General features: G+C 39.0%; 1 protein-coding gene across 6 annotated transcripts in view; it reads left to right on the forward strand.

Annotated features, from left to right (window-relative positions):
* LRRC8C (leucine rich repeat containing 8 VRAC subunit C) overlaps window positions 1–20,960 on the forward strand; it is a 103,710-nt gene that overhangs the window by 75,158 nt on the left and 7,592 nt on the right. The window lies entirely within an intron of this gene.

Raw genomic sequence — 20,960 nt, forward strand, 5'->3', positions numbered from 1 at the left:
TGAGATGCCAAAAGAAATATTGCTTCAGAATATGAAGGCTGCAGGGCACAGAATTCATACGGGGTGGACTACTCAATTCAACAAACAATCCTGTGCATCAGCAATATATCAGACACTCTGTGGGGTGTTAGATGCTAAAAGAAAAACAGCACAGCCCATGCCTTCAGATTGCTAATTGTCTGAAGACCATAGAAACACATAAGCAATGTTTTCCAATATGTAAATGCCTTAATGGTGCCTCAAGAGCATCAAATATGATGTTGTCATCTCAGTCACTGGAAGTGAGGGACTCAAGAAGATAATTGAGTGAAGTCTCAAAGAATGAATATACAAAACCAAAATATATATTTTAATAAGACGCATGAAGGGGAAAACTCAGCATTAACAGAATATTTAGTGTGATCATTTTACAAAGCCCTCATGGATTGGCACAGTGACCGGAGGGCCCAGATGGCATTTTTCGGAGAGGGTGGGGTCAGGGATATTAAACATCCTGCAATCGGTGGGACATTCCCACACAGCAGAATTGTTTTATCCAGAATGCTAATAGCACATCCATGGAGTAACACTGGCAAGAGAACCTGTGCTAGAATCTGTATGTACTTTATTTAGTTCCCAGAACAAACCTGTGAAAGTAGATTAGTCCCATTTTTCAGATGAGAATTCCAAAGTGTAGAAGGTTAGATAACTTGCCCCAAAGCCAAGAGGGATGCAGCTGAGATTCCAATCTTAGGCTGATTCTCCATGAGGCGTCTGTCACCCCTGTGCACACTGCTATCAAATATTATGGAACCATCACAATTGCACAGATTGTGAGGGCAAGGTTTGGCTTATAAAACAGGATTTTCAGTGTAAAAGCAAGTACAAAATGATAAAAAGAGAAAATCGTTACAAAAAGTATCAATTTTATGAATTATAAATTAAAATTTTAAGGGGCATTCACTATATACCTGCTATTTAAAAAGAAAAATTTGCACTCTATAGTGAGCATTAACAAAACAAGAAAGAATGCATGGTACAAATTATCAAAGTAAAACTACCTAGGATCCATATAACAAATTAATGTTCCATAGGGGAAGAATTTAAGCTCTTATTTTAGCTCTGCTATGATAATCCACTAAAAATGGCTTAATGACTGATAACTTTATAAACAAAGGATTCTCTGTGAAGCTCAAGTTCCTTTCTCATTCCCAAGGCGATGTTAAAATTGTTAAAATATATTTTTATGTCTTGATTTTCCACTTGTAAATTGAAAGTGTATCATTCTTTCTGATCTTATTTACAAAGCAAGTTAACTCCTATATTGGAATACATGACAAGGCAAAATCTAAGGTGAAGTTAGAAGAACACTCTTTGATGATAAAATAGTAATCCAACAGCTTTTAGAGTAACTATTTTGTAAGTTGCTTTTTTCATGTCAAGTTAACAGTTGATATCTGTTTACTCCTAAAAGATTGTATTCATATAGGTTCAACACTACTCAGCTTGGAAAATACTGGGGGATTAAGGAGATTATTTTCTATCAAGGGGATGTTGATTCTTTCTTGCACTTATGTAAAAGGATTAGAACCAGCACTTTTGCCTTACTTGTCTGACAAATATTTATTCATTTCTGAGCAAGTAGCTCTTTTCAAGGCTGCCATGAAATAAGAGCATGTATAAAGAGCATTCCTTAGATTACATCAATCCACATAAGAACAAATATAAACTCACTATAAGCCAGGAGAGTGTAGGAGTATATGTGTCTGTCCTATTCCTGTACAGTCATACACCCTCAAGGACCAATAGTGTAAACACCCAACTTTGTGCTATAAACAACACTATTCAAAAACTCAACACATTCAACAAAATAGACCATATCCTGAAAGGTCAACACGTTGCTTCCTGGAAAAATAAGATTGCTTTAGATCTCTGCTCAGTGACTCCAGGTTATCTTATTATGACCAAATCCAAAACAGCCCATGGGCAGACCGTTACCAAATATAGAATTAGCAGTTAGAAACCAGAAACAGGAACTGGAAGATGCAAGCCCCCTGGAAGCCCTAGGGGACCTGCCTTGTGATTGTGACATAGAAAAGACATTTCCTGCTTTCTGAATTTGGAGGGGAAAAAAGAATTATTTCAATGACAAAGCCACCTACAAAAAAATCCTGGAAGATTTAACCCAATCACTAGGAGCGAAGTGGCCAGCAGGGTCACACTATCAAAAAGGTTAGGACATGTGAGTTTTTTGGTTAGAGCTGATCCCCGCTTTGATTTTTAGGGCATACTGAAATTAATTTCTACTTCTCTGATTTAGAGCCATCAATGTCAGCTCCATGACAAATGACCTTCAGGTGAAAATGCTCATAGGCAGTTCACTGGAAAGTACAGGCAATCAGAATTATAGATTCCAGAATGATATCAGAAGACTTCATTTTGACAATGTGCCCTGAATTCTTGCTTCTACTCCCCCCATGCAGTCATCTGCTGTATACTGTCTGGGATTTCTAGTAGATCTTTTTCTTTGGCCAAATTTGAATTTTATAGATAGAAGCCCAGAAATTCTTACTTAGAATCAGTAATACTGATTACATCAGAATACTGATGAAATCACAGATAGAAGTGAAGGCTTAAAATCAAGACCTCATCTCAGATATGTTCCTTTTCTTTTATCTTTTCTTCCTTTTTTTTTTTTTTTTTTTTTTTTTTTTTGAGACAGAGTCTCACTCTGTCACCCAGGCTGGAGTGCAGAGGCGCGGTCTCGGCTCACTGCAACCTCTGCCTCCCAGTTCAAGCAATTCTCATACCTCAGCCACCTGAGTAGCTGGGTTTACAAGCATGCACCACCACACCCAGCTAATTTTTGTATTTTTAGTGGAGACAGAGTTTAACCATTTTGGCCAGGTTGGTCTTGAACTCCTGGCCTAGAGTGATCCACCCACCTCAGCCTTCCAAAGTGCTGGGATTACAGGTGTGAGCTACTGCACCGGCCCAGTTGTATAAAGTTTCCATGTACCCACCTTACATCTCCGTTCTACTAGGGTCTTTGGGGAATATAAAACAAAAATTATTTAGATAGTGAAAATAATTGTAAAGAGCAACCTTTGTCATCTCTGTGGGGATGGTAGTGAATGGTGTGAAAGAAACACTATTTCAAAACCTCTGTTACATCTAGTATCAAAAATATGCCTTAGTTGGGACCTTCTTTTTATGGTGGTTTATTTGAACTGACACTTTTGATCTTCCCTAGAATTTTACTTCTTGTCATCTATCACCTTGACAATTTTATGTGGACTGAATTCCAATTTTATGTGGACTGTATACAGGGTGGTTATAGGAATACAGGAATAAATTATATTCCAGGGAGAAAAAAGTGATATGGTGTATTACAGAAGATAAGACTTGTGGGGCATGGTAACATTCTACAGATGTCCACTTGGGGGTTTCTAGCAAACAAGGACTTTCAGCTCTGCTTCATTTTGTTTCGTTTGTTTTGTTATTTTGGAGACGAGTTCTCACTCTGTTGCGCAGGCTGCTTTGAAACTCCTGGGCTCTAGTGATCTTCCTGCCTCAGCTTCCTGAGTAGCTGGGATTACAGGTGCGTGACACCATGCCCAGCTTCTTTTTTTTTTTTTTTTTTTTTTGAGATGGAGTCTCACTCTGTCACCCAGGCTGGAATGTGTGCATTGGCATGATCTCACTGCAACTCCACTTCCCGGGTTCAAGTGGTTCTCCTGCCTCAGCTTCCCTAGTAGTTGAGATTACATCCATGCACCACCACACCCAGCTAATTTTTGTATTTTTAGTAGAGACGGGCTTTCACCATGTTGGCCAGAATGGTCTCAAACTTCTGACCTCAAGTGATCCACCCGCCTCAGCCTCCCAAAGTGCTGGGAGCCCAGCCCATGCCCAGCTTTTTTGTTATAATAGCACTTCCTGTTTCTAATAAAAGTATAAAGACTTTTTTTTTTTTTTTTTGATACAGAGTCTCACTGTCGCCCAGGCTGGAGTGCAGTGGCTCAATCTTGGCTCACTGCAACCTCCACCTCCTGGGTTCAAGCAATTCACCTGCCTCAGCCTCCCGAGTAACTGGGACTACAGACGTGAGCCACCATGCCCAGCTAATTTTTGTATTTTTAGTAGAGATGGGGTTTCACCATGTTGGCCAGGCTGGTCTCAAACTCCTGACCTCAGGTGATCTGCCCCCCTCGGGCTCCCAAAGTGCTGGGATTACAGGCATGAACCACCGCGCCCGGCCCTATATAAAGGCTTTTGAACATACATAGTGACATTTTTCATCATGTAATGACAAGTTCAAAATGTTAAGTTTCCTAAGAAGTGTTTGAACTACTGGCAGTAATAGGGTCAGCTATCTTAAAATAGAATTGGCATCTCCCTACTCAAGTTATTTTAGTTCTTAAAAGCTGGTGAGATTCTTTGCACTGATATCCAAAGCTGGGGCTATGTGACCTTAAGTTCAATATGTTAACTTACTGTTTAGGATGTTGATGTTAAATGTTATAGGTGATAGATATTGGACTCAGAAAATGCTTAATGCAAGCTGAGACAGTGTTGTAGTGATATTCACTTGTAGAACACTTGTATGCATGATTATATCAGTTAGTAGTCACTTAATTTTATATTTTTAGAATTCTGCAAAAATCTTTTGTCTAATAAATAGGCCATCAACTATCTCATCATTTTACCTTGTAAGAAACCTTATATGCTCACTGGAAATAGAAAACCTGGATTTAAAAAAAATAATAATTTCAGCTAGATCAAGTTAATTTAAAGAGAAAAAACAAAATCTTTCCCCAAAACTTCAAACAGAAAGCATGGGCTCTCTCATATGCTCTTAGTATGAGTTTAGGTGAAACACATGGCTTTTCTGAGGCCCAGTTTTATAAAATGAGCAGGATAGGCATCACTTCCATTTTACAGTTTTATTGTGAAAAAAATGGTGATAAAATAGAAATGTATTGTTTTTAGTCTCTTTAGAAACTGTAGACCTCAAAATGTCTTCTCTGGGCAATTACTCTGATCCTCCCCAATTGAAAAACAAAACAAAAAACTGCCTTCTCTTCATTTGGGGCATCTTCATATAGTCATAAGTGTGATTAGTTGAGTCTTGACAAACAGAGATTGAGAGAGGTCTTGAATCCAGGACCAAATGCCCTAATTCTGATAGCTACCTACATCTGTCTCCCAGAAGACTTTGCAGGAGCTATACAGACATAGTGGACAAGATCAGGCAGAAGAACATTTAATTAAAGCTAAGGTTCTGGCCCTAAACCACATTATCAGTTTCCTGGTGAGCTAGGCCACACTTCAGATAAGTCTCAAGCACTTTCTTTGCCTAAGCTCTGAAAAATCTACGTACCTGCAAAAAAAGTGGGGGTGTGGTAGGGAGTTCTGAAAAAAACTCCTTAGCTTCTTTTTCTACACCTTAATCTCTGCTGTGCTCAGGTCAAAGAAAGGTAATCTGAGTAAAGAACAGACAGAGGGGAGAGGGGAAGGGGAAGGGGAAGAGAGAAGAGGGAGGAAGAGAGAGGGGAGAGAGATATTGATTTATTATTGATTCTTCCTAAAGGTCATCTGAACAATCCTCTTCAGGCCCTCCTAGGCTACCATCAACTTCCCAGAGAGAGGCAGCTTCAAACCTGTTGTGTCACATCAGTTTTAAGGAAAAAGGGAGACTTCCAAATGATGACTCCCTTTAGAAGCTCTAAAGAGAGAGTCAAAACAGACTGGTCCCAAGGAGAAACAACCCCTTGTGACACCAGAGTTCAGTCCTTTTCCTTAAAGGTCACCATCTCTATCAAGCCCTCTTTCACCTAGAAAGAAGTAAGGAGGAGCAAAGAAGAGTCTTTTCTCCCCAGAGATCAGCCATTATCTGGATGATTCAGAAAAATGGAAAAGTGCGTAGATGAAATTCTCCCTCTATAGGTAAAAGACCTGTTTGTCTGAAATGTGTGGAACCTGTCTTATCCAAATTAATATTTATGGAATCCAAATAATCTTAACTTCTAAAAATTATAATAATGATTGAAAAAAAAATCACTTGCCATCCAGCACACATAAATGACTAACAAGTGCCATGACTCTTGCTTTAACTGCAAGCCTTCTATGATGCCATAACAAATTATGGATATTATCTTTTAAGGATGACACTATCTATTCCTTCATGTAGATTGGACCACAACCTGGCAGTTGATATCATCTCACTTGGGGAGATATTTTTATTTGCTAAAAATAAATAGCAAATTATTTTCCAATTATTATAGTAAATTTCTAAAATAATCATTTAAAAATATCCTTTTAGAACAGTTTTATTTGCATGCTTCCCATATTTAGAATTCTGTATCTTTGTCCTGTTCATACATCGAAGATAATCTGGATGATTTATGTTTCTCTTTGAACTCTCCCAATTTCTTTTATTCTACTCCTGCTCACAGATTTATCAGTAAACTGCAGGGTTTCTAGAGCTAAGTCAGCTGAGTACAGAACTGAGGTTTCAGTCCCTGGGCATTGCTTCAAAAAGAGTTTTTCCTGTATTATTTTAAGAGCATAATTACAGATAAATATTTCAAATTCTTCAAACAACCGAAACAAATAGTCTGTTATAAATCAAAACATGTTCTGTGTTATGTATCCATTGAATTTTCTCACATGGTTGTTACTTTGAAATGGATGCTTTCCACATAGATCTTAAATTGCCATGGATCAAATAATTCACTGGTCTTTATGGCTTATGGAAAAATGCCATGAAGCAGAATGAGAAGAAGCTGCTTCAAATCTCACCCACCCCCTTCATTTCTGAAAAATTTTTTTTGTAATTCCTTGTTTGGCCTAGAGAAGCTTTCTTCAAAAGAAGAGGGGAAAAAAAACAATGTGGATACAACCAAGATAGAGGTAATAAAAGCATCCTTGATGGCTGGAAACCTTCAGTTTAATGAAGGGTTAAAAAAATGAACATTAATAGTATGTATTGTCATTCCCACCCTCAGAAAAGTTAGTATGTCAATATTTACAGTGATAGGAGAATCGTATTTACTAAGCAAAATTTCAAAATGTAGACATGATTCTAATGTGGATATGATGGTTTCTTTTTTACCTAGGAATAAACAGACCATGTGTCCCAAATCTGGTACTCTCTTTGTGTCTCTTAAATGAGTTAGCACTTAACTCTGGCTTTAGGAATCACTAGACTGATATCACTTGGCAGTTAGGAGAGTGTGCAAAACGAATTGTTTCATGTCAGAAGAAGGTAGCTAGAGGTCAAATATTTCCAGATGTTCTCTGGCATCTGAATATATGAATGCATATGCTTGCCTTAGCTGTGGTTTGTTCCTCCTTAGGGATATGGGGGACAGTGTTTGTTTTATTTATTCACTTCATATTTATTGCGTACCTACTTTGTGCCAGGCAATGAAAACTAAGCATGGTGTCTATCTTTAAAGAGCTTACTGGTCCTTATACTGTTATTTGTTCTGTATAATGATTTAAGATATGCTGTAGCTTTTTTAGTGCTTAATCTTTCTATCAGTGACATTTAATGTTCCTCAGGCATTTCTCACGGTGCATAACTCAAGGAGTTTCACTTGATACTAGCCTTTAATTATGTATTAATAAAACCTGTATAAAAGTACCATTATACTTTACCACTGAGAAAATCCATAAGTTCAGAAATCTAAGTTTTAATGCACTTATCTCTTCAATCCCTTGGATTTTTTTCCCCAAGCACTCCATGCCTCAAATGTGCCAAGGTATGATTTTTTTTTCCCTTTCTTATTGCTGTTGGAGAAATAGGCAACTAATAAAAACAGACCTTTTACTCTGCTCTTGTAAATACCTTAGACTTTGGCAGTTTGCCTTAGACTGGTTTTTCTCTCACTTTACTATATGGGTGTAAACTTCCTCCCTGTACAGTGTGTTATTTCCTGGCCATGATATAAATGTTAAGCATCATCATCATTAAAAATAAGGGAGATTCAGACAAGTCCCGAAGGTGGAAAAAAAAAGAAATTAAAAAAGAGAGAGAGAGAGATGATCCAAACAATGGAATGCTATATAGTGCTAAAAATAAAAAATAAAAAATAAACGGTCAAGCTATGAAAAGACATGGAGGAACATTAAATGTACATTGCTAAGTGAAAGAAGCTAATCTTAAAAGGATACATGCTGTATGATTCCAACTGTATTATATTCTGGAAAAGGCAAAACTACAGACAGTAAAATATCAGTTGTTGCTTAGAAAGGACAAAGGAGGGGAGGGATAAGTAGGTATAGCTCAGAAGACTTTTAGGGCAGTGAAATGACTCTGTAGGATATTACAGTGGATACATGTTGTTATACATTTGTCCAAATCTTTATCCAACACCAAGAGTGAACCCCAAGGTAACTGTAGACTTTGGATGACAGTGATGTGTCAATGTAGGTTCATCGATTGTAACAAATGTACCACTGTGGTTGAGCTTGGTGATAATGGGGAGGGCTATACATGGATGGAGGTAGGGAGCATTTGGGAAATCTCTGTACCTTCCTTTCAATTTTGCTGTGAACCTAAAGCTGCTCTAAGAAAATTTAAAAAGTCTTTTTAAAAAGTAGAAGAAAAGAAGAGAGCATGTGCACAGCAAACAGGAAATGATGCCACATACTTGCAGTTTTGCTTTTCCATTTCTGTTGGAGACAAGGACGGTGTTCGTCCTGATGATAGTGATGCAGCATGTGTGGTTCTCATAGATGTCTATTTCTGTGCTCCTGTGGCGATTGCCCCCAAATATGCTTATAGTCAACATAATGCACAGCAAGAGTTGTGAATAAGACATTTGCTAAGAATGAAAGCATTTAAATATTCACTCCTTCAGAGCCATCTACTCTGCCTTTTCAGTTCCTTTTCATTCTCATTCTCACCAACATTTTTTGTACTTAAAATATTTTCAATAGTTCAGCCTTGAAACACAGTCTACATTTTCAGAGTTAATTCTATCACTGATGAGGGGAATCAATCTCATGCGTTTGGACAACGAGTGCTTTCTTTGTCCTCTAGCATCTTGTATCTTGGGGAAAGTGCTTAGTCAAGTTTGTACATTAACTGATAACTTAGTGACATGAAAATTAATTCCTTTCCCTTCTATTTCTATCCCTTTGCCCAGGAGAAATGGGTCTACCTCAGAAAAGAAGAGTGACACTCCATCTTTTCAGTCTTTCTCCCTCTCTCTCCCCAAATGCATCCTTTTGCTCCTGCCTCTGGAACCACAGGCTCTAACCTAGTAGCTTCAAGTCCCAAGTGAAGTTCCTTCTACTCCGCCAAGCCTACCCTGCTTACTCCAAGCCTGAGCTCTTACTGTAGATATTGCCATATTTGTGCTCTCGTTTGATTTTTCATGTGGCTGTTTATGTCCCTCTAGCAAGATTGCAAGTGCTTTTAGAACAGCAAATACTGGCTATGCCTCTTTGGTTTTCCTATGACGCTTAGCATGTATTACGTTGGCACAAAACTAATTGTGTTTTTTGCCATTACTTTCAACGGCAAAAACCACAATTACTTTTATGCCAACCTAATAGTAGATAGTAGGTATTCAATATGTTTCTGTTGGTAAAGGATAGCCTGCTCTTATCTCTGAACAATCCCTGGAGAATAGATCTTTGGGATGTGATTTTGCTATATCCTTCTTAGGTCAACAGGGAAAACTTGGTTTGTTCCGTCAGACTGGGGGCAAGTCTAGATGATCAACTTCAGGGTAGAAATCTTTGGTACTACCTATATTTGAATCAATGAGGTGGAGGGAGGATGAAGCATAAACTTAACTGCCTTATATTGGCCACTTGCCTTTTTGTGGCTCCACTCTACCTGTTTGGATCAAATCTGTCATAACCAAGTTAAAGTACTGTCTTTTTAAAGAATAAGACACAATCTAAAGACTACATCTGGATCACAAGTTAACATATTGGAATGGTACCACCTATTTTATCATACACTGCAAATTTTCTTACTTCCTCTTCCTATAACAATATAATCATAGCTGTGTTTTAAAGTCCAAGCTGGTAGCTCATGCCTGTAATCCCAGCATTTTGGGGGTCCAAGGCAGGAGGATCACTTGAGCCCAGGAGTTCAAGACTAGCCTAGGCAATACAGTGAGAACCCATCTCTATAAAAAATAAAAATAGAAAACAGGTTCAAGCTGGAGAAATAATTTGGGGATTATAGTTCATAGAAAAAGAACAATGGGGCCAGGCGCGGTGGCTCATGCCTGTAATCCCAGCACTTTGGGAGGCCGAGGCAGGCGGATCACGAGGTCAGGAGATTGAGACCATCCTGGCTAACACGGTGAAACCCTGTCTCTACTAAAACTACAAAAAATTAGCCGGGCGTGGTGGTGGGCACCTGTAGTCCCAGCTACTTGGGAGACTGAGGCAGGAGAATGGCGTGAACCTGGGAGGCGGAACTTGCAGTGAGCCAAGATCGCACCACTGCACTCCACTCCAGCCTGGGTGGCAGAGTGAGACTCCATCTCAAAAAAAAAAAAAGAAAGAAAGAAAAAGAACAATGGACTTTATTGTCGAGGATATAGGAAAGTAAGTATTTTCATATGCTGTTGGTGGAACATGTGTAAAGAAATTCGGCCTTTCTGGTGGGGAGGGAATTTGACATATAAGTTTACCTTGTGTGGCACTACCCAAGCAACACAATTTTTCATAATAATTTGTCTCGACTAATTTTTGTATTATGATACACACATCTGCGAAAGATGGTAAAACAGGTGTTACAATTCAAAACAGTCCTGTGTTCAATGTGTATAGTCATGATAGATATAAAAAGATAACAAAAATGCATACACAGACCCCAAAGCAAGATGAGCGTTTCTGTGGAGCACAAATGGAACGCTGAATGGGTCTGAATCAATTGCTGGGCTCTTATCCAAAACTAAGCAGTAGCAGCCAGGAGCTCAGCTCCTGCTAGTAAAGGGAACCATAAATGCACCAAGCAAGATAAGAGACTGGAGCCTGGTCACTGTTTCAAGCCAAAAGTCCTCACTCCCAAAAAGAAGCTGAAAAAATATAGCGATTAACTGGATGCTGGAGCCAGTACTTCAGAGGAAAGTGTGCATCTGAGGTGCCTGCCGACCAGAAACTGAGTCAGCCTGTCCACTGTCTTGCAGACTGACTCTGTGAGGCCTGACATCACAGTGGAACATCCAAATACCATGATAAGACCTATTGGTGGACTCTGGGGGGCTGGGGGCTGGGTGCAGAAAACCACAAAAGTACACTCAAGAGAAGCAGTGGAAAACATACACCTACTCAGGATGCGTCTACCACCCAGAACACATGAAAAAAACTATGTTAAGAAAGACTATTAACAAAATTAACAGTTGGAACACAGATTCATGCAAGATGAAATTAAGTTTTAACCAGATGACAATGAATTTAAAATAAATATACAGAGAGTGGTTAAAAAGATCAAGACATAACATTTAAAAAGTAGGGGCCGGGTACCGTGGTGAACACCTGTAATCCCTGCACTTTGGGAGGCCGAGGCAGGCGGATCACTTGAGCCCAGGAGTTCAAAACCAGCCTGGGCAACATGGCAAGACCCTATCTCTAAAAAAATAAAAATTAAAAAATAAAAAATAAATTTTTTTTTCATTAGCCAGGCATGGTGGCACACACCTGTAGTCCCAGCTACATGGCAGGCTGAGGTGGGAGGATCACTTGATCCCAGGATTTTTGAAGCTACTGTGAGCCATGATCATGCTACTGCACTCCAGCCTGGGCAACACAGCAAGACCCTGTCTCAATCAATCAATCAATAAAGTAGGTAGATATGACTTAAGAGCTGATATAACAAATTTAGAAATCTTGGAAATAAAGTCAATGAATTATAAAATATCAACAGATAGAATAACTGGACTGTACTCAGTAGCATAAAGAAGTAATGAATTAAACAAGAGTTCTCAGTTTACCCAGAGCCCAGCACAGAGAAAGACAGGAATCAAAACACACGCTCATGAAAGACAGACTGAGAGACACTGACATACATCTCAGAGGAGTTGTAGAAGAAAATGGAAGAAAGGATGGAGCAATATTTGAAGAAATATTTGCTTTAATTTCCCAAAATTAAAGAAAGTCAAGTCCTTAGCTCCAGATATGGAGTAGGATTAATCCACATACATTCAAAATTAAAGTGAACCTGCAGAAAATCCTGAGACTAAAGGTAAAATCTTAAAAGCTACCTTAAAGATAGATTGCGCACTAAATAACACAAACTGACAGCAAGCTTCTCATCAGAAAAAATATAAGCCAGGGAAAATGGAATAATATTTTTAAATGCTGAGAGGAAATTACTATCAAAACAGAATTGTATAACTTACCAAATAGTTACTGAAGAATGAAAGCAATATAGGAATTGTCAGTCTTACAGGATATATGAGTTTCCTATCCACAGACTTTTATTAAGAGTTATTAAGGTGTATACTTCAACCAAAAGGAAAATGAACCCAGGGAGAAGTTATAGGATCTAAGAAAACTAGTGACTCATAATTTAATAAATATATAAACAAACACAATCAAGTACAGATTGTAAAAAAAAAAAAAAAAGTTTCAAAAGAAAGCAAAAACAAACTCTGGGAACAACAAATTGGTATAGTTCAGTGGGTAGTTACAACATATTCTTGGAAGTGGTGTGGAGATACTAAAAATTTTAACTGTACATTTTAAGAAATTATAGATAACATCTAGAAGAACAGAAATACAGTCGCTATCTTCCTAACCAGCTGAGAAGGGGTTGGGTGGGAAATAGGAGATAGAGAAAAAATGAGCAGTGCAGCAGAAGGCAGGAAGGAGAAGGGAAAAGTATAAATGAAAATGAAAAATCTAGAAATAAGTCCAAATATCCAAATATGAGTGAGCAAAATAATGGATTAAGTTCACTTATAAAAAGAAAAGGGTGATTAGTTTGGATTTTTAAAAATTCAAAAGGCAGAAACCTAAAAAAATTATAAGAGTAAAAATAGAGATTAAAAGATAATATAACACAAATACCCAAAAAAGCTGGTAGCGTAATGTTAATATTAGATAGCATTTAGCCCTCCCATCTTCAAGAATACACTCTTTATCTAAACAAGGTATATATTTGAGTTTTCTAATATGCACAGGTTCTTGTAACCACCACTACAAACAGGATACAGAAGAATCTCAACACCCCAAAGAATTCCTGGTGCTGACCTTTGCAATGAACCCGCCAACCTCAGCCTTTAACCTCTGATCTGTTCTATGTCCTCATCTCTCTGTCCTATTTTTCAGAATGCCATGTAAAATCAGATAGTATGTAACCTTTTGAGACTAACACACTTTTTAGTAGCAAAACTCCCTACATGCATGTCATCATGGGAATGTCTTCAGTAAATTATAGCACATCCACAATATGTAATTCCATGGCACTTAGAATGAAGTAGATCTCCAGGTGCCAATCTATTAACATCTCCAAGACATACCATGAAAGAGAAAAACTCAAGGTGCAGGAACAATACATATAGTAAGATCTTATTTGTTTATGTATTATATACATGTAAATGCACAGATACAGATCTGGAATGGTATACACCAAACTTATCAGGGCTCATGAAGGAATGGCAATGGGGATAGGAAAAGGGAAAGGGAGGACTCTACCTTCTGTGTTAAAAATAAATGTTTTGCACATGAAAAAATGCTCACCATCACTGGCCATCAGAGAAATGCAAATCAAAACCACAATGAGATACCATCTCACACCAGTTAGAATGGCGATCATTAAAAAGTCAGGAAACAACAGGTACTGGAGAGGATGTGGAGAAACAGGAACACTTTTATGCTATTGGTGGGACTGTAAACTAGTTCAACCATTGTGGAAGTCAGTGTGGCGATTCCTCAGGGATCTAGAACTAGAAATACCATTTGACCCAACCATCCCATTACTGGGTATATACCCAAAGGACTATAAATCATGCTGCTATAAAGACACATGCACACGTATGTTTATTGTGGCACTATTCACAATAGCAAAGACTTGGAACCAACCCAAATGTCCAACAATGATAGACTGGATTAAGAAAATGTGGCACATATACACCATGGAATACTATGCAGCCATGAAAAATGATGAGTTCATGTCCTTTATAGGGACATGGATGAAATTGGAAATCATCATTCTCAGTAAACTATCACAAGAACAAAAAACCAAACACCGCATATTCTCACTCATAGGTGGGAATTGAACAGTGAGAACACATGGACACAGGAAGGGGAACATCACACTCTGGGGACTGTTGTGGGGTGGGGGGAGGGGGGAGGGATAGCATTGAGAGATATACCTAATACTAGATGACGAGTTAGTGGGTGCAGCGCACCAGCATGGCACATGTATACATATGTAACTAACCTGCACATTGTGCACATGTACCCTAAAACTTAAAGTATAATAATAATAATAAAGAAATTTAGGGATTAACCAAAAATAAAATAAAATAAAATAAAATAAATAAATAAATGTTTTGGCCGGGTGCAGTGGCTCATGCCTGTAATCCCAGCACTTTGGGAGACTGAGGTGGGTGGATCGTTTTGAGCACAGGAGTTCGAGACCAGCCTGGGCAACATGGTAAAACCCCATCTCTACAAAAAAATACAAAAATTAGCCAGGCATGGTGGTGCAGGCCCGTGGTCCCAGCCACTCAGGAGGCTGAGGCTGGAAAATTCTTTAACCCGGGAGGTGGAGGTTGCAGTGAGCCAAGATCACGCCACTGCACCCCAGCCTGGCAACAGAGCAAGACCCTGTCTCAAAAATAAATAAATAAATGGTTTTTTTAAAAGACAGATTTATGGTAGCAAAAAAATAAAATACATAGACAGACATAACTTAATAATGCACAAAATCTATGTGAGAAAACTGTAAAACACTCTTGAAAGGCACAAAATTAGATGCAAACAAGTGAAAACACACACCATAAGGAGGAAGAATCAACATCATGTCAGTTCTTAACTTATAAAGTGATCCCAATAAAAATACTACTAGGGTTGTTTTTCCTGTATCTACGTAATCTGATGATAAAGTTTATCGTGAAAGACAAGCACAAATTTGAGCACTTATCACACTAATTACTGATTTATATGTCTCATTCCTGTGCTTGACTTTGAAGGGCTTTTTGTTCTTGTTGGTATCCCAAATATAACAACTGACATATAGTAGATACTACTGCAGAATGACTTTTCCTGAGGCACACTCAGAATTCAGCATTTATGTTCTACATGTCTGGCATGTAATAGATAAGCTGCCTTCGTTTATATGTTCTTTGTTATTTCAGGCAGTTTCTCTGAAGCTAAGTGGTTTTATTTTGTTTTAACCTCAGCCCTTTGGTGTCTCATTCATGCAAATGTGGTACCTTTTCAACTAGTTATCACAGGTGGGTTCTGCTTTTTCACTTCCATACTTTTCTGGCAACTGCCTAAATAAGTGTCATCCTGATGTGTCTTAATGATTCTAACAAAGGACTAAGACTTAAATAACATACATCATACAAAAATGTAGCCATAAATATTATGACTTAAAATAGTGAAAATTTCTATTAAAAGGCCCGAATTTCACGTTGACCATTCAAGGTATTTCAGTATGCAATAGAGCATGCACATACTCCACTTACAGTGCATCTCTAAATCTGATTGTTACCATTTAAAACATTTGATTTCTCTTCCTAGATTCGAACAGCATTTTCAGGCAGGTTTGGATGGGTTGTTTCTTTTTTAAGGAAGCTTGAATTTTGGCCTATGCTTCCCTTGAAACCCTTCCCCTCCCCCATAGAAAGCAAAAGCAAGAAATTCAGCTTATTTCATTGACCTTAGAATTGAGGAAGGATCTTCAAGATCCTCTTTTATCTTTTCAAAAATAGCTGTTGTGTTTTCTCAACATGATGATTTGCAGATCAGAATTGAAGAATCCAAATTTTAGTGAATCCATTTAACCAATTATTGCAACCCTTGGGTTTCTTTTCCATAAGTACTGCATAGATATTATCACAGTTGTGGAACAAGTTTATGTGTACATTTTTTTCTCCAAGGACTTTAATTGGGAAGCCTTGAGGAGTATTTTATACTCCTGGATGTCAGTCGTTCCTAAAGATCCAGAGGATAGGCCAGGCGCTGTGGCTCATGCCTGTAATCCCAGCACTTTGGGAGGCCGAGGCGGGTGGATCACTTGAGGTCAGGAGTTCAAGACCAGCCTGGCCAATATAGTGAAACCGCATCTCTACTAAAAATACAAAAATTAGTCGGGTGTGGTGGCACACACCTGTAGTCCCAGCTACTTGGGAGGCTGAGGCAGAAGAATCACTTGAACCCGGGAGGCGGAGGTTGCAGTGAGCTGAGATTGCGCCACTGCACTCCAGCCTGGACAACAGAGCAAGACTCCATCTAAAAAAAACAAAAACAAAAAAACAGATCCAGAGGATATTGGGTCACACCCCAGTCTAATGCCCCCAGCAGGTTCCTGGAAGGATTAGGTTCCCATGGTCCCAGTTTCTGCTTCCATGGAAATCTTTAGATTACAGATTTTTACCTAGCCCAGGTAAACTCTGTACAGCTTTGATCCCAGCATGAAATTTGCTGTGATTTCTACAAAATGCATTCATAAAAGGTGTGGCTGGTGTGTGTGTGTGTGAGTGTGTGTGTGTGTGTGTGTGTGTAGCAGATTTTACTAAAGATTTGAGAAAGATTGAAAGGTATTTCTATCTCAAAATAGAAATAATGAGCATATACTCCAGCCACCTGCTGTATGGCTTGACCTAATTTTCTTCTTCCCTTCTAACCTGTCCGTGCTCTCCTGATTCACCTCCTCCTACTTCCAAGCCTGTTCACTCCAATGTAAAGTAGGCAGTTTAGCTGTCTCTTTGTACCTTGGCTTAATCTGACCCTTGCTCTCAGTGTCTCATTCTTCTGTGTCCCTCTCCTCCTCCTTCACTTAGACATTTTCCTTTCCATAAATGATTTCATTCTAAGAATTCTGAGAATTCTTATAGCAGCTTTTAGAATATTAACTTTTCTCACTTTTATGCATTTTGGATGAGGTTCTCTTGTTCATTTTGATTTTTTTCTTCACTTCTCCCCCCAGTTTCTTCCCCCTTTTTCTCTCCCTCTTCCTACATAAAGGCACCACGTAACTCCATTCTCAAGCCTTTTTCCTCCAAAGGCAGCTGAGAGTTGTCCTTGAAAGAAAATGGCGGAATTGCTCCATGTGATAATGTGTGTGGATGAGCTGCTGGTGATGCACTGAACCTCAAGGCTTTGTAGAAGGGGATGCGGTTGGGCACTTTCTCCCTGCCCCTACTCCAAGCACTCTGTCTTAGTCCTGTACCAACAGCCTGGAACCCTACAACTATTCTTTTGAGATTTGTTTTGCAGCCTTTCTTTAAGGCTTGTTTTGCACCCTGATCTTTACATTACTGGGTAAAGAAAAAGAAACGTGAAGTATAGGTCTGATTAGGCAGACTTCTCAAAAGGATAGGACAGATAAAACAAAAATTTCCTAATTCTCACAGGCTGCTGTTACAAAGATATGGCAAAAACACTGTTTAACCTTTTGAAGAAGAAGAAGAAGATGACGAAGAAGAAGACAAAGAAGAAGAAGCTGCCTGCCTTATTTTTTTTCTTATTTTTCTCTTTGAAAATACTGATCCTTTTCCCAGTTCTTCCCCACATTGCAGTGTTCAGAAATACAGTCTCTATTTAACATGGAGGGTAACTTCCTCTCTCTTATAGCTATTGCACTGTTTAAATCTTCATACTGTTTACTGTTGGACCTCCTAACCTGGCTATTTATTTTTGTAGTCCTGGATTTGACAGCCAGCCCTCACATTCTTTTGGAATTCTACTCAGAGATGCCTCTCTGCAGGAGTCTTCTTGTGATGTGTTCCCTCAGCAACATGAGATGCTACTGTTCTTAGTAACTAGATTCCAGTATTTTTTTTTCTACTCAGCGCTCGTTTCTGGGTGATTAACAGCTTTTGGAAAATAGATTACTGTCTTTATTCTCCTGAGATTTGAGTAGGCACACTTCAAAAAATATCTTCATGAAGGAATGAAAGGGAAATATGAAGTCAAAAGAGTGAACAGAACTTCTGGAGATTGCCTGTGGCATAAGCCTCCTACGCTGGGCTGTTCTCTACAAAGCCATCCTAGCGGAAGCTAGGTGAAATGAGAAGAATGTGGGGAGTGGTGGAAGAACACTAGGCTGGAAAGAAAAGACAGGTTTAAATTCCTGTTCTGCCATTTCCTAGCTGCGTGAACTTGTGCAGGTCACTGAAGTTTTCTGAACCTTGGTCAGTTTCTTCTTCTGTAGAACGGAGAGAATGTGACCTACTTCTCCAGCATGGCAGATTCCAGCTAATTAGACATTTTTGTGCAAAATATAAAAACGCAGTTGCACTGTGTGGACATAACCCCAAGTGCACACAGCTGAGTGAGAGGTACACAAGCTAGATTTCAGCCTACACTTGCCCTTCACCTGGGCACCCTGGTACAGTGCATAACCTAAAATCCTGTACAGCAGCCAAGTTCCTTAAGTCCACCGTCTTCTTTCATTAGGAGCAAGCCCGGGGGAGGGTTCAGGCAGGGGTACAGAAATGGGGCCCACTTGGTTGCTTTGCAGGGACTTAGCACCTTAAGAAGATGCCTCCCTTTTTACCTTCTATTTAATCTTGCTTTTACCTGATTCCTCTGTGTTTTTTTGTTTTGTTTTGTTTTTTGTGTGTGGTTTTTTTTTGTTTGTTTTTTTTTTGTTTGAGACGGAGTCTCGCTCTGTCGCCCAGGCTGGAGTGCAGTGGCGCGATCTCGGCTCACTGCAAGCTCCGCCTCCCGGGTTCACGCCATTTTCCTGCCTCAGCCTCCCCAGTAGTTGGGACTACAGGCGCCCGCCACCGCGCCCGGCTAATTTTTTGTGTTTTCAGTAGAGACGGGGTTTCACCGTGTTAGCCAAGGTGGTCTGGATCTCCTGACCTCGTGATCCACCCGCCTTGGCCTCCCAAAATGCTGGGATTACAGGCGTGAGTCACGGCACCCAGCCTGTATTTTCATCATATCATTAACAATATCGTATTAACAATAGTTCAAGGGTGTCAGTCTTGAAGAATGTGCTCAAGGAAGCACATTCCTTTTCCCTGCTGATCTCTGGCCCCCTCCCTCTGCCTACTTCCCAAGTTGTTGGAGCATTAAATGAGATCATGAACAGGAAAGCATCTGGAACATGATCCCAAGCCCTTCTCTTTTATGTTTCTTCAAGATAGTCTAGTATTTGTCTAGGCTTTCTCCTGGTGGTTTTGTTTGTTTTTTATTCCAGGGGTTTCCAAAGTATGGTGCTTGAATCCCGAGAAATATGATGAATGCTCCATTGAGATGTGAAATAAAAGTGAAAACTTTTCTTTATATTTATTTTAAACATGAAATAAGTTAGCTTTTTGATTATTTGACATATTGATTGATGTGGATATGCAGTACCTATAGGAAGACATAAATATAGTGGGTAGGCATACTCAACATTTTCCTCTAAGTAATAGAAATGTTTGAAGACCACTGCTGAATTCTCACATCTCAGTAGCCACCAAATCCTCTAAATGCAATCACATTTGTTGTTCTTACCTGCATTCTTTTGATTTAAATAGTAAATAGTTGCCCCCCTGCTTTATCTTCCCAAGACAGAACTTTATAAATCTTGTGGTGAAACCTCCTCTCTTCCCGCAGCCTCATTTCTTGTTATCTGCATAGGACATGGCAAGCAGTAAGCCTTTTCTGTAAAATGTGACTTGTTTGTGCAAAATAATTTGTTAAGATAAAGTCAAATTGGGATCCCTCTGGCTTAATCCTAGACATTCAGGAAAATACGAATATGGGCTCTGGGTCTAGGTGATTCTGAGCTAGATGACATTAGGCAAGTTATTTACCTGAGTCCATGCCTCAGTCTCCTCATCTATAAAATGGAAATAATAAGAGTACTTGATGTCATCCGATTAAGATGGCAATTAATAGAATTAATGCCCATGACTTTATGAAAAGACGGTCAGCTGCATATTAAGCATAACAGAAGTTTGCTGCTGTCATCACTATAATCACCATCTTCATCTTCATCCCTAGAAGAGGTGTCCTGCACACCCAGACTGATACAACCCTGAACTAGAAGGACTATTGGCAATTTTGGATTCACTCCCTTTCTCAGAAAATATACACTGGTGGTCTTCCATGTACCAGACACTTTACTAAGTGTTGGGTGCTTCACTCTGTCATCAGCCTCATGCTTCTATATGGTAGGCTGCTAGTTCCCTTGTCACCAGCTCGTGGTCACCTTACTATGCTATAGCAGACCACTTTACAACGGGTTCAGTTTCTATGCCTATAATCAAGGTAAAGGACTTTGATGTTGCAAAATCACTAACCACTGCTGGTGCAGAATCACTAAACATTGTGGATTTTCAGCCATTTGACATTTTAAGGTACAAATAGACTTTCCCTGCGTTATTAATTCCACATGTCATTGCTGAATACTCTTTGGTTATTCTTCCTTTGAAATGTCAACTTTTTGTTCATAGAGTTCTACTAACATAGGCCTCCTCCTGAAGATGATTCGTCTAGGTTTATTCAATGTGTATTCTGTCACATCCTACCTTATCTTCAAAAAGGGTGCATTCATTCTCTCTTTCCCAAATTGCAATTTTTTGAGTCTGCTGGACATTCTTACAGCTTAATATTCTTTTCAACAAACTGAAACGTTGGTGGAAGGATGGTGGTTCTCAATGTAATATTTTGTGTGTAACGCTAGCAAATCTAAACAATTATTTTACTGTTGAACACTTCTGTATTTTTTTATCTCTCTCTGAAGGAAGAGTTTTTATAAAAGCTTAGCAAAATTTCCATTAAATTCATTCATATTGATCTATACATACAGTCTAGAATATGTGTAGAAA

This window comes from Homo sapiens, chromosome 1 (genome assembly GCF_000001405.40).
Source record: "Homo sapiens chromosome 1, GRCh38.p14 Primary Assembly".
Taxonomy (NCBI): domain Eukaryota; kingdom Metazoa; phylum Chordata; class Mammalia; order Primates; family Hominidae; genus Homo; species Homo sapiens.